This window comes from Homo sapiens, chromosome 4, assembly GCF_000001405.40.
Source record: "Homo sapiens chromosome 4, GRCh38.p14 Primary Assembly".
In the NCBI taxonomy this organism is placed as follows: Eukaryota; Metazoa; Chordata; class Mammalia; order Primates; family Hominidae; genus Homo; species Homo sapiens.
The window spans coordinates 105,386,310-105,400,952 of NC_000004.12; the positions used below are offsets into that span (position 1 = coordinate 105,386,310).

Consider the following 14,643-nt stretch of genomic DNA (forward strand, 5'->3'; position numbering starts at 1 on the left):
TAAGAAAAACAGCATCATATGAAGTTAGCTAAATGGTTAATGAACTTTCAAATACAAAATTTAAAAACTCAACTAAAAGGTTTTAAAATTCTTAATTTAAATTCCTTGAATTACAGAAATAGATTTCAAGGTGATCTGTAAACTTTATGCTTCTCAAAAGGACTTGACACATTTCATTGCTAGAGATTTCAGAATTTCTACTAGACTTCCTATGACATTTATAAGATTAAAGGATGTCTTGGATGTTTGCCCCTTACCGATTCAACTAATGATCTTGCTTCCTCTTGAGTGCAACGGAAAGGGCTATCAGATATCTGCACGTTTGTGCTGGAGAGGAAAAGAGAATGTTATTATTAAACAGGATAAAAAGAAACAATTACCAAAAAAACCCCAAAAACTAACTCCAAATACTCCACATCTGTTGTATAATTTTAACCAATGAATAGAAACTGAATGAATAAAAATTAAGACAATGAAAATTATTGTATATTCTTTCAGGCAAGGTTCTAAGTATAGAGTAGTCCACAGCAAAGCACTCTCCAGAATGATAAAAGATTTTTAAAAATTATATTACACAAATCCTAATAATTTCCAGGTATATATAAAAAGCTACACCACAATTGCACTTCACCTTTATTGAAGAAAAGAGGAAGCAAATTTGACCCACACAATGGGACCTAGGATAAATTTTCCTCTAAGTGAGGTAACAAACATTGTAATTAGCTACTGAAAGTTTTTGCGGAATCTCTTTCACAGATAAGGAGATTAAAGAGGAAACTATATGAATGTAAAGTTTGTTTTCTTATATGTAGGGAAGTTCAGCCAGGCATAGGAATAGCAGCTCCTTCCCTGACTAGGGAAGCCTCCATAGAGTCAAAAGCCTTTCCTATACCTCTAAAAGCATGCTACTCATTACATACTGCCACTCTCTAGATGAAAGCAAAAGCATCATTCCTCTGAAACATATTAAGGCTGATTTTTAAAAATTTCATCACAGGAACAGGCAGATTAAAATGGATAAAGAGGTGGTAGAGAAGGGAGTTAAAGCCAAATTAACTTTTTTAAATAGAAGAAAAAGTGATTAGCAGATACCTAAAAGATAAAATAATAGGTAAAACACACGTAAACATATTCCCCCTCAAGTGGACCTAAGGATATACATTATCAAATTTATTTTCACAATAGCTGTGTGAAATATGCCGAGATATCGGTGATAAAAACATCTGTCTATATCTGTTTGTAATTGATGACACTGAGTATACAGCGATTATAATAAGTGGTCATTTTGGTTTCTATCCAGACTCATAATGTGGGATTCATTTTCATTCTTGGCATGAATAGAATCTGATGAAAGTTAGCAGTAACATCTTTAAGACTAAGTTTTTTTTGCCACTATAGCACACGTTTACTTACGTAACAAAACTCCACATCCTGCACATGTACCCCTGAACTTAAAAGTTGAGGGGGAAAAAAAAGACAGTTTTTTGTCTTTTCTACAGCTCATGTTTAAACAAGCTGACAATTGAAAAAGGCAGAGCCCTGTAAGTTAGATGTTTCCTTGATGACTGTCAAAAATGAATTTAAAAAGAACCAGGCAAAAAATTAGACACTGCAAAAAAGTGCTGGTCCTGTGAAGAAACTACGATATACAAAGTACTAATTACAATGCATACAACAATGCTTTTAACATTATAACTAAACCAAAGTAAAACATTCCTTGGAAATTCTGGAAAAATGAAGGTGAGAGAACAGGGGGCGGGGGTGGGGAGGTCTTTTCTAGATATAGTTGCCATATAAAATACATAACAACCAATTACATTTGAATTTCAAATAAGCAACAAACTATTTGTTAGAATAAGTATGTCCCAAATATTGAAAGAGACACACACACTTACATGGAATAATATTTGTTATTCTGAAATATTTAAATAGAAGAAAAAGTGATTTAACTGGTGTCCTGTATTTTTCATCTGTTAAATCTGATAACCCTACTTCTAAAGTAATCCCCTACTCTTACAACAAAATGAAACTATGAATAGGAATATTAGAAAAGAATGACAATATTTAAGCCAGCACGGTAAAATTTAAAAATATTTAAAATTTTATTTTAATTTTAAAAATTAAAAAAATTTAAAAATATCTCTGATAAAATGTCTTGACAAGTAACCAGTAGTGGATATCTTGGGAAAGTAAATTGACTCTGCTATTTTTTCACCTTAAAAAATGTATGAGCGGTTGGGTGCAGTGGCTCACGCCAGTAATCCCAGCACTTTGGGAGGCCAAGGTGGGCAGATTACCTGAGGTCAGGAGTTTGAGACCAGCCTGGCTAGCATGGTGAAACCCCATCTCTATTATAAATACAAAAATTAGCCAGGCATGGTGGCACACACTTGTAATCCCAGCTCCTTGGGAGGCCAAGGCAGGGGAATCACTTGAACCTGGGTGGTGGAGGTTGCAGTGAGCCGAGATGGCGCCACTGCACTCCAGCTTGGGTGACAGAGCAAGGCAACGTCTCCAAAAAAAAAAGAAAAAAAAAAAAATTAGCTGTTTTAAGAATGAAAAATGAAATGGCAAGCACATACAAATGAACTTAGGAGATTCTTGTAAGATAAACCGATACATAGGATGAAAGATTACAAAGTTCCTTCTATTTATCAAATAGGCTCTTCTATCAGCTAAAAACAGTGCCAACATCCTCAATGATGTCCTTTTAGTCAATAATATATGTAATCTAGGTTGTAAGAACATATATGTATGTAAATATGTGTGTGTACATACCTAAATGTACTTTATCCTCTCTTGGATTTAATAGTTATTTGTACTTTGAATGTTTAAAAGTGTAATAAAAGGCATGATACCAAGAAATATTTTTATTTTTTCTGAACTGGCCTTCATGTAAAAATAGTTGTTTAACATTGATTCATATTTATTTGCCAAATCAAAAAATCACACTATGTGTCAGGGACTCTTCTAGACGCTGGAGACACAATATTGAATCATGGAGGCCCCAAGGAACTTTTAATCTTTAAGATTCTTTTTACTTCTCAAACTATTACTACGACCTGCCAGGGGAAAAGCAGTATAATCATTTAAAGGAGGGATGACTAAGCTGTTAGTGCCCACTATAAACGAAACTTAAAAAAAAAAAAAAAAACTAAAAAGAATGCACTGCTTTCCTTTTTATACTAAGATATTAAATATTATATTCTAATTGTATAAATGTTACATGACCTATATACAACCTTGTTGACCAAAACAAGCAGATGACATTAGAGCAAAAAATCAGTAAAACCAAAAATGCTGTGTACAACAAGCCCAAATTACATATAAAAATAATAAAGTATATTACTAGACAGATAATAGTGTTTTGTGAAGGGAAACCATTTTCTTCAAGTAAATTTCAAATCAAACAATGGCCCACACTTATGAGAATCCTCAAAGACAGTGTTCAGGATAAAGATTTGTCAAGGCTTTTCATTCTAAATCAAAGTAGTCAAGAAAAAGGCAAAGAGAAAATTTAAAGAGATCAGAATGACAATAATTTTAGACCATAACCTCCAGAGTTTATAGAAGGAAGTGACCTTGGAATAAATGTACACAAAGCCAAAACAACTGAGGCTATCAATACATAAAAAAGTACCAGATTACTGGTGCCAAAACAGACATATAGATCAATGGAACCCCAGAAATAACACCACACATCTACAACAATCTGAGCCTCAACAAACCAGATGAAAACAAGCAATGGGGAAATGATTCCCTATTTTATAAATGGTGCTGGGAAAACTGGCTATCCATATGCAGAAAAGTGAAACTGGACCCCTTCCCTACACCTTATACAAAAAACTAGCTCACGATGGATTAAAAACTTAAATGTAAAACCCAAAACCATACAAACCCTAGAAGAAAACCTAGACAATACCATTCAGGACATAGGCATGGGCAAAGACTTCATGACTAAAACACCATAAACAATTACAACAAAAGCCAAAATTGGTAAGTGGGATCTAATCAAACTAAAGAGCTTCTGACAGCAAAAGAAATTAGCATCAGAGTGAACAGACAACCTACAAAATGGGAGAAAATTTTTGCAATCTACTTACCTGACAAAGGTCTAGTATCCAGAATCTACAAGGAACTTAAACAAATTTACAAGAAAAAAAAAACCCATCAAAAAGTGGGCAAAGGATATGAGCAGACATTTCTTGAAAGAAGACATTTATGCAGCCAACAAACATGAAAAAAAGCTCATCATCACTGATCATTAGAGAAATACAAATCAAAACCACAATGAGATACCATCTTGAGCCATGAATGGCGATTACTAAAATGGCAATTATTATCAGAATGGCAATTATTAAAAAGTCAAGAAACAATAGATGATGCTGAGGCTGTGGAGAAATAGGAATGCTTTTACACTGTTGGTGGGAGTGTAAATTAGTTCAACCATTGTGGAAGACAGTGTGGCGATTCCTCAAGGATCTAGAACCAGAAATACCATTTGACCCAGCGATGTCATTACTGGGTATATGCCCAAAGAAATATAAATCATTCTACTATTAAGACTCATGCACACGTATGTTTATTGCAGCACTATTCACAATAGCAAAGACACAGAACCAACCCAAATGCCCATCAGTGATGGACTGGATAAAGAAGATGTGGTACATATACATCATAGGATACTACGTAGCCATAAAAAGGAATGAGATCATGTCCTTTGCAGGGACATGGATGAAGCTGGAAACCATCATCCTCAGCAAACTAATGCAGGAGCAGAAAACTAAACACCACATGTTCTCACTTACAAGTGGGGGCTGAACAATCAGAACACATGGACACAGGGAAGGGAACAACACACACTGGGGCCTGCTGGTGGGGGGAGGGGAGGGAGATTATTAGGACAAATGGCTGATGCAGGCAGGGCTTAATACCTAGGTGATGGGTTGATGGGTGCAGCAAACCACCATGGCACATGTACACCTATGTAACAAACCTGCATGTTCTGCACATGTATCCTGGAACTTAAAGTAACAAAAAAAAAAAAAAAAAAAGGAAGTACCAGGTTAATATACCTTTCTCTAGGAATGTAAAAAGAAACAACTTTAAGACCTAAAGAATTTAGATGAATTGAATATATTTATTTATTTATTCAGTAAGCATATTTAGACTACCTACTGCATCAAGTCCTGCTATTGAGTGCTGAGGTAAAAACTCAATACAAAGTATTAAAAAAAAATCCACCTCCAGTTCTACATAGAGGTATGTACAGCAGTGATACAACAGCCCAACAGAAATGAAACTGTGCAGAGGTGACATCTAAACTGCTTCTCGAAAAAATGAAGATGTCCACCAAAGAAAGACAAGGGGATAGGAAGGAAGAGCCCATGAGGCTGGAAAGGCAGGTTTGGACACATTGTTTAAGAATAGAAGGGTTGGATGAAATCCCATTTTTGAAGGGAATCATAAGACGTTTTTAGGCATAAAAATGAGTTATATTCATACTTTTGAAAGATAATTCTGGCAGTATTGTATAGAATATATTAAACAGGAGAATGATTGTTAATAAAAAAAGAGTATGAGTAAAGAAATAAAGCATTACTTTATGAGTAAAGAAATGCTAAGTAACTGAATTAGTGTAGTTTTATAACTAGAAGGCACTCAAGAATCAATCAAAACTTGAAAAATATGTAAGACAGATGGATCAAAATAAATAATGATTAATAAAATAAAGTAGTAAACAGAATAGTACATTTCTGATTTCTTAATAAGGTATATCAACTGGTTGAAGAGAAAGTGGGAGAGGACTGAAGAGTAAACTCAAATGTCAAAAAATGATTTCTCCCAGAATCAAGTTTAAAGTTTTCTTAGGTAAGACTAGAAATTAAATTCTCTCTGTTAATATAATATTTAGATTTCAGAGTAAACATCCAGCAGTGGAAAAAAAGAATAAACAACAACAACAAAAAAAAAAACTTCGGAGAAAGAGAATTTTCAAGGTATCAATGAAAAGAACTTAATAAAAGCAGTGCTCCTGAAAAGAGAAGAGTCACTACCTGGATTAAAAAAAAACAAAAACAAGGCTGGGAGTGGTGGCTTATGCCTGTAATCCCCGCACTTTGGGAGGCTGAGGTGCGTGGATCACCTGCGGTCAGGAGTTTGAGACCAGCCTGGCCAACATGGTGAAACCTCGTCTCTACTAAAAATACAAAAATTGGCCAGGCATGGTGGCAGGTGCCTGTAATCCTAGCTACTTGGGAGGCTGAGGCAGGAGAATTGCTTGAGCCCGGGAGGCAGAGGTTGCAGTGAGCCGAGATTGCATCACTGCACTCCAGCCTGGGTGACAGAGTGAGACTCTGTTTCAAAAAAAAAAAAAAGAAAATGGTTGGCTTTAAAATATTATTCAACAATTTACTCCAACAGATATTTATTGAGTGGCTACTACATGCCAGGCATTAGGAATATAAAGATGAATAAGGCATCTTTATTCATCTGCTCTTGAGGAACTTATATTCTAGAGAAGAAGATAAATTCATTAACCAAGTATTTAGTAACTGACAGATGTAATGACAAAAATCCACAGAAGACAAGGAATACAGAGAGTACTGGCATTTCAACTAGCATATGAGGGAATGTTTCCTAGAGAAGACGAAGTAAAAATTAAATCTTAAAAGATGAGTAACATGGCCAGTTCAAGAAATGAGAAGACAATCATGGCAAAGGAAACAAAATGAGTAAAGGTCTAGAGATTACTACAAGCACAGTGACAAGTGGCCTTCAGTTGTTGTAACATGAAATAGGAGACAAGAAGTGATGGAAAATGAGGCAAGAAAGGTTATCTAAATCTTGGACGGCCTTGTTTGTTTTTCCATGAGAACAAGTTTGGATTTTATGATTCTTAAGGCCGGGCGCAGTGGCTCACACCTGTAATCCCAGCACTTTGGGAGGCTGAGGTGGGTGGATTGCTTGATCCCAGGAGTTCGTGAATATCCCTAGCAACATAGCGAGACCCTGTCCATTCAAAAAATTTAAAAAGTAGCCAGGTGTGGTGGTGCATGCCTGTACTTGGGAGGCTGAGGTGGGAGAATCGCTGAACTCTGGGAGGTCAAGGCTGCAATGAGTCATGTTCGCGCCCCTGCACTCCAGCCTCGGCAACAGAGCAAGACACTGTCTCAAAATAATAATAATAATAATAATAATAATAATAATAATAATAATAATAATAATAATATGGTTCTTAAGCAGAGAGGCTCATCAGAATCACATAGGGGGCTTTAAAAACATATACGTTTAGATTCTACTTCCTAAAGATACTAATACACTAGGTTTAAAGAAGGGGACAATGTATCTGAGTTCTCTAACAATTTCCCTAGTTAATTCTGTGTATTACATATACATTGAGAGAATGTCTATGATAGTATGGACCTAAACTGAACTGAGTGAGAAAAATGGGTTTCAAAAAGGAAGGCAGAGGAAGCTTGCCAATCTACAATGGTACAGTTTAAGGAATTAAGAAAGATAGGCAATTCATTACAGAAAGGCAAAAGAAATAAAAACTAACAACGCTGAATATATTTCCAAATTAAGTTATGATAAAGAGAAAAATGGATTAAAATGAGTTAAAATTCTGAAGCTCTTGACTTTAAATTTTCTAGATGCATATGATACATATACTGAAACTTATATTCTGAAAATTCTTAAACTAAAAAAAGTTATTTTGTTATAAAAAATGTAGAGGAGGTAAAAGAACATAGCTATTAACAGAGTAAGGTTTAGGCCAGGTGTGGTGGCTCACGCCTGTAATTCCAGCACTTTGGGAGGCCAAGGTGGGCGGATCACTTGAGGCCAGGAATTCGAGACCACCCTGGCCAACATGGTAAAACTCCGTCTCTACTAAAAATACAAAAATTAGCCAGGCTTGGTTTCAGGCTTATGTAATCCCAGCTACTTGAGAGGCTGAGGCAGGAGAATTGCAAATTACTTGAACCTGGGAGGCAGAGGCTGCAGTGGGCCGAGATTGCACCACTGCACTCCAACTTGGGCAATAGAGCAAGATTCCATTTCAAAAAAAAAAAAAAAAAGAAAGAAAAAAAAAGAGAGTAAGGTTTAAATCCTGGCTCCACAATGCATTGTGTGACCTTAGGTAAGTTACCTAAATCTTTATGTGGACTCAATTTCTTCATGTGTAAAATGGAGATAACAATACATATTTTATAGGATTCTTGAGTATTAATTACATAACATATATAAATCACTCAGAACGTGGAACATAGTATAGAGTTAATAAATGTTAACTCTTACTGTTAATGTAATCCTTATCATTACTCAGGAGGCTATAGCAAAATGATTCCAGAGCTTAGAAATAAAGTTACCTTCACAGTAAGGATAATTAGACTCAGCACAGAAGGAATGAGTTCAAGCTATATATATACTAACCAAACAAAGGGTCTCTGGCTGTGTAGCTGAGGAAACCTGGGGAAACACTCAAGTCTCATCAAAGACTGCATAAGCTTTTTAGAAAGTGATTAGGAAGGAGATAAGACAGCAAAGAGCAAGCAAATATTTCCTCAGACAATCACAGACCCCCTCCTCCTTCATACTGGAGGGACTCATTACACTGGAGTCTTAATTTTAGCCCACAAAGAATAGCTCACTCTACCATTTACTAGGATAGACAAGACTAGAGGACATTCAATCATATCCAGCTTTGCTGTTAATAAATTATATTATTTATATTAGAAACAATTACCTGCATTTTAAGATTATGCTTAAAAAAAAAAGAGTGCTCTGCATACGAGGTAAGAAAAAAGGGAGAAGGCCAAGGAGTTGACAGTGTTTCTTTAGTAAGCAAGAGAAACAAAGTCAATTATCTTCAATGCCAAGCATTTGTGTTGTAGGCAAAATGGGCCTTCTTGATAACTTAGGTAAAATATTCCTTGATATTAAATAATTCTTTACTCCATCTGATTACCTTAGTCTAGAATTTATTTAATGACCCTCTTGATTCCCAGACTGTGCTCAGAGAGCACAGGGACTCTATCGTATTCATAGTGTTATCTTTAGTACCCCCACAGGACTGCTTTTGCCTCCTATACTTAGACTTACCAAGAGTCAGTTGTTTTAGTTCTTAAATGTGTTCGTCAATTGTACTTGTTACTATAATTTCAAAATTTAAGTATTAATTATGTTCACAGATGAACTGTAAAAGAGTGTGGAAGAACTGTTTCTGTGAACATTAAGTAGGTTATAAAACTAACGAGGCTTTAAACAATACTGAGGCCCTAAAAAGCCTCAATAAAGGTGAATCACTACAAAAATTTGGTGTAGATAACATAATTTAAATGATTTTTTTAAAAGAACCCTAAAAATCTGTCAGGAATTTTAAGTTACAAGGAGCTTAAGGATTACAGAATCTTTATTTTCTATCCTGTGTTATGTTAGAGTGTATATAAAATCTATATGGAATCTATATTAAAAGGGGCTCAGCCCTATATCCAAAAATGGGTGAATATACATTTAAATGTTTTAAATTAAATGTTTATGTTACTGTTACTTAATTCCTCTTAATCAATCAATTAGTGATCATGATGAATAAGGAGGCTTTTACTTTCTAAGAAATTATATGGTAGTTATTAGATTTTAAAGAAACCGCATAGATTTACATGCTGAAAAATTGCGTTTTTCATCTTTGCACAATGTATTTCAATTAAATGTCCATTTATTTATCAGTATTCCCACTAAATTATAAATTCCTTGAGAAAAAAGATCACGTCAATTCCTAGTTTAATAGTGCCCAACACTTAGTAATGCCCAATGAATAGGTAGATAATCTGTATTGTTTAAATTAAAAAAAATGCAAAAATCTGAAATCTGATTATTATGTGGCTGTTTAATACCAATTAATATAACATTACTTACATAGAAAAGACAAATTCTTACCAATTTATAGCTCCTCCATTACACTTCTTCATAAGCAATGCTTTCCAACATTGATGAGTGGATTTAATAACTTCAAGAGCAAAAGCCTAGCTCCAAACAAACAAATAAAAAAAGACGTATTTAATATCAGTCACATTGTTACACTAACACAAAACTAATCTTGTGATGACAGTTAATTGTTAAGAGCATGAGCTCCAGAGTCAGGCAAAGCTTGGTATAAATTCTGGCTTCCTTATTTGTCAGCTGTGTGACTTTGGGCAGGTTACTTAAGCTTGCTAAGCCTCAATTTCTTCATCTATGAAGTAGAATATAATAGGGATAATCTATATCAGGGGTTGGCAAACTAGGAACTATGGGTAAAATCCAGTCTGCCCCCTGTAAAGTTTTACTGAACAGTCACATTTGCTTGTGTTTGGCCTATGCTGCTCTAGTACTACGATAGCAGAGTTGAGCAGCTGTGACAGAAATCATACGATCTGCAAAGCCTAAAATATTTTCTATATGACCCATTACAGAAAAAAGTTTGCCAACCCCTGATCCAAGTCACAGAGTTGTTGAAAGAGTAAGTGAGATGACATATGTAAAGTGCTTAACCCAGTACCCGGCTTGTCAGTAAGCATGCACCCATTAATCTCAGCATCATCAAAACTGCAGGCAGTCTAAATGTAGTTTTTTCAATCGAAGTAATTTTAGACTATCCACTGTCTGAAAGCAGTACATCTCCTTGACATTTATGACATTGTCTAAAAATGCATAAGCAACAATAGATATACCTCTTGTTGGATATACATCCAGTAAGAATATCTAAGGAAAACTTGCTTTATAATTCCAAAGCAGAAAGTTCTTTAGAGTTTTTTCCCAAAAATTGTTGTTTGTTTTCCTTAAGGAGAGTCCTTACTGGTTAGTTCAAAGTAGCTCCTTTCTTCTTCAATGATAACTAAACTCATTATGATAATAAAGAAACTAAAGAATCTTGGGAACTGAGGTACAGTAATAATGGGAAATTTATCCTCTGAAAAGAGAATTTCTCTCGGGTCTACGATTGCCTGCGATGGAGGACGACTTATATCTTAATGAGATAGTGTTGGGCGGGAATCTCACTTCAGATACAGGACAAGAAATCTAATACATTATCTGATTATGTAAGGATAGATTTTTAATCAAATTATTTGGATAAGTGTGATTATTTAGAACCAATTTCAATACTTGTTTAAAGGAGTGGCAAGAAAAACCCACAATAAAAGAAAGGAGCCATCTTTCCAACCATGTTAAAGAGGCACAAATCAATTCTTGAGTTATACCCTGCTATGGTTTGAGGGGATTTGTCCTCTCAAATCTCATGTTCAAATTTGATCCGCAGTGTTGGAAGTGAGGCCTAATGGGAGGTGTATGGATAATGGGGGTGGATCCCTCATGAATGGCTTGGTGCCTCCTCAGAGTAATGAGTGAGTTCTTGCTGTTAGTTCCCACAAGAACTGATTGTTAAAAAGAGCCTGGGCACCTTCCACCTCTCTCACTTGCTTCCTCTCTCACCCTGTGGCATGCCTGCTCCCCCTTCATCTTTTGGCATGACTGGAAGCTTTCTGAGGTTCTTACCAGAAGCAGATGCCAGCACCATGCTTCTGGTATAGCCTGTAGGACTGTGAGCTAAATAAACCTTTTCTTTATAAATTACCCAGCCTCAGCAGTTCTTTCATAGCAATACTAAGGGCACTAAGGCTCTATATTTTAAATAGCAGTAGTAAAAAGCAATGCATAAAACAATTATTTTCTGGTGAAGTTGTATAAATGACCTCATCTTTATACAGAAAAGAATTACTATTTGTTAAAAACAAACAAAAAAAAACTACCTCATTCTTTACAAATTCGTGACTTGGCAGACTTACCCTGAGGCAAAAATACCATATAGGTTTAAAATTTCAATTATCTCAATAATAAAATGAAAATTTTTAAAAGAAAAATAATGTATAAATTTTCAATCCTTTAAGATAATTTAATCTAAAATAATAATTTTATATTTACATTTAATAATCCCAGACAAAGCCCTCAAGATTTGAAGGATTCTTTTAATGTGCTTTCAAAAAAACACTGAGTCCAGCAATCAATTCTTTTACAGCAAAATACCCATTATAAATTTTAAGTTTTCATTAACATGCCTTATTTCACTTATAAAACATACTTACTGGTATCCACTTAAAAGTTGGTTTCAAATATTCAATTTACCTAGTGGTAATAACTTTAAAAAAAATTCCATGCTTTAGACTTTAACTCTTTGGTCTATTCTCTCCATCTGTGTCATATTAGAGATACTTTGTGGTAACTCAGTGGTATTCTAATAGAAAAATCCTATGACAGTAAGATAATTCAGGTGTCCTTTCAATTGTTAAGCAGCTTAGTTCCGTCGTGGTAGAATGAACACTTAGGAGGGAGTCCCCTATGGATTTACATTAAGGGTGAGTAACTTTCTCCTCCACAAAACAGTAAATAGAAAGTTTTTCTATGTACACAATTTGCAAAATTAGTCTGATCATGAAATTCCTTCATTTTCCAAGACGTAGGAGCTATAGACACATAGATGGAAATATATATTTTTCAGCCTTGTTGATTCACTTAGATCTTCTGAAACAGAATTTAAATAATAAAATAATGTTTTTAAATATGTAAGTTAGTAAAAAGCACTTTTTTAACCATGCTATATATACATATTCACATAAGAAACTTCCCAAGTGAAACGAATATTGTACAGGTATCAGGAGGTACATTTTAAAATAAAGATTCTCATCTTCACCTTGTTTTTGAATTCTCCATTAAAAGCAAACTGGTTTTCTGGTTTTCCATCTGGTACCTTATATAATCTAAACCAATTAAGAGTAGCTTCCAGGTAACCCGGTTTGAACTTCTTAACATCATCAATATCTGTAAAGAAAAAAACAAAAAGATGTTTTGTTAAGAACCAAAATTAATTCCCTTTAGTGGCAGAGCATTGGACTGAGGGAGCCAGGAAACATGGGGCCCAGTCTAACCAGAAGCACAATTGATTGTGATACCTAGAGCAGCATCATCATTGATATGTATATCACCTTCAGACTTTTGTGTTTTCATATGTATAATACTATTCCTGCACTCTACAAACATTTACAAAGCATCTTCAGACAATGTGCTATGTATGGGGAATAAATGGATGGATACAACAAAGTTCTTTTCATCAAGATACTCAGTTTTTAACTCAGGGAAAGAGACAAATAGATAAACTGCAATTAAAATGCAATGAGGTTTTAACAGAGATAAACAGAAGCAATGGTAATGTCATAGAAGAGGGAGTAAAAGAAAGCATTATAAAAGTGAGAAGTACATCACTAACTGGACAAGAGGGGAAAAGGTAGAAGGAACAGCACACATAAAAGCAAGGGACTATATTTTAGAATATACAAAGATGGTTCTGCATGGATAGAACATCACTGTTAGGAGGCAGGGGAGAGGGAGGAGACACCTAGGAAAAGCCAGTCACTGAGGATCATATACACAGCAATCTCCCTTTATCCACGGTTTTGTTTTCTGCAGTTTCAGTTACCTACAGTCAACTGAATCCAGAAATATTAAATGGAAAATTCCAGAAATAAACAATTCATAAGTTTTAAATTGCATACCATTCTGAGTAGCCTGATGAAATCTTGCACTGTCCTGCTCCATCCTGTCCAAGACATGAATCATCCCTTTGCCCAGTGTGGCCACATTCTATATACTACCCACCATTAGTCACTTAGTAGCCTTCTCAGTTAGCAGATCCACTGTCTTGATATGGCAGTGCTTGTGTTCAGTTAACCTTTATTTTGCTTCAGAATGGCCACAAAGCACGAGAGTAGTGGTGCTGGTAATTTTATTACAGTATATTGTCACAGCATATTGTATTGTATACAATATATTTATTAGAGCATATTAAAATTATACTGTTTTGTTATAACAAAACAAACAGGGATGTTTTGCAAAAATTAATTAATATTGAGTTCCTTGAACGAACGGTTTTCTTATTCAGAGGGGAAAAAAATCTTTTAGTCTACTGACGGCGAGTGTCTAGAAATGCAATTTAATCAATGCCCAAGATAAATAATTTTCTAGGCCAGGTGTGGTGGCTCATGTCTGTAATCCCAGCACTTTGGGATCACCTGAGGTCAGGAGTTTGAGACCAGTCTGGCCAACATGGTGAAACCCCATATCTACTAAAAATACAAAAAAAATTAGCTGGACATGGTGGTGATTGCCTATAGTCCAAGCTACTCAGGAGGCTGAGGCAGGAGAAATGCATTAGTCCAGGAGGTGGAGGCTGTAGTCAGCCAAGATCACGCCATTGCACTCCAGCCTGGGCAACAAAGCAATAAATAATTTTCTGTTGCTTAAATCTGATTTATGACTTCATCGTTGTACCTTACTCAAACTAACATTTTCTCTTCCACTGTATATAACTTTTACAAATCATATAACTTTTGTATGATTTTTGTTACTTAACTCACTGACTTCCAAGGAGAAAGAGAAAGCTAATTATCTAATATCTACCTCAGTCTAGGAGGCTTTCTCCCCAAAAGTCATAAAGAGGACCCAATAAGCAAAGACACAAATTAGGAAAAAAACTGAAAATTTTATAATGGAAATAAGAAGTATAACTCTCCAAATATAAGCTAAACTTTTCCATTCTCAACTAATTATACC

The 14,643-nt window shown here is 35.1% G+C and overlaps 1 protein-coding gene across 4 annotated transcripts in view; it reads right to left on the minus strand.

The window, feature by feature from the left end:
- PPA2 (inorganic pyrophosphatase 2) overlaps nt 1–14,643 on the minus strand; it is a 104,994-nt gene that overhangs the window by 17,233 nt on the left and 73,118 nt on the right. For all 4 annotated transcript variants that reach the window (NM_176867.3, NM_176866.2, NM_006903.4 and 1 more), the window contains 3 exons: nt 12,728–12,855; nt 9,940–10,025; nt 258–327 (listed from right to left, as the gene is read on the minus strand). In NM_176867.3, coding sequence (NP_789843.2) covers nt 258–327; nt 9,940–10,025; nt 12,728–12,855 — 284 coding nt within the window. The remainder of the gene's footprint in view (nt 1–257; nt 328–9,939; nt 10,026–12,727; nt 12,856–14,643) is intronic.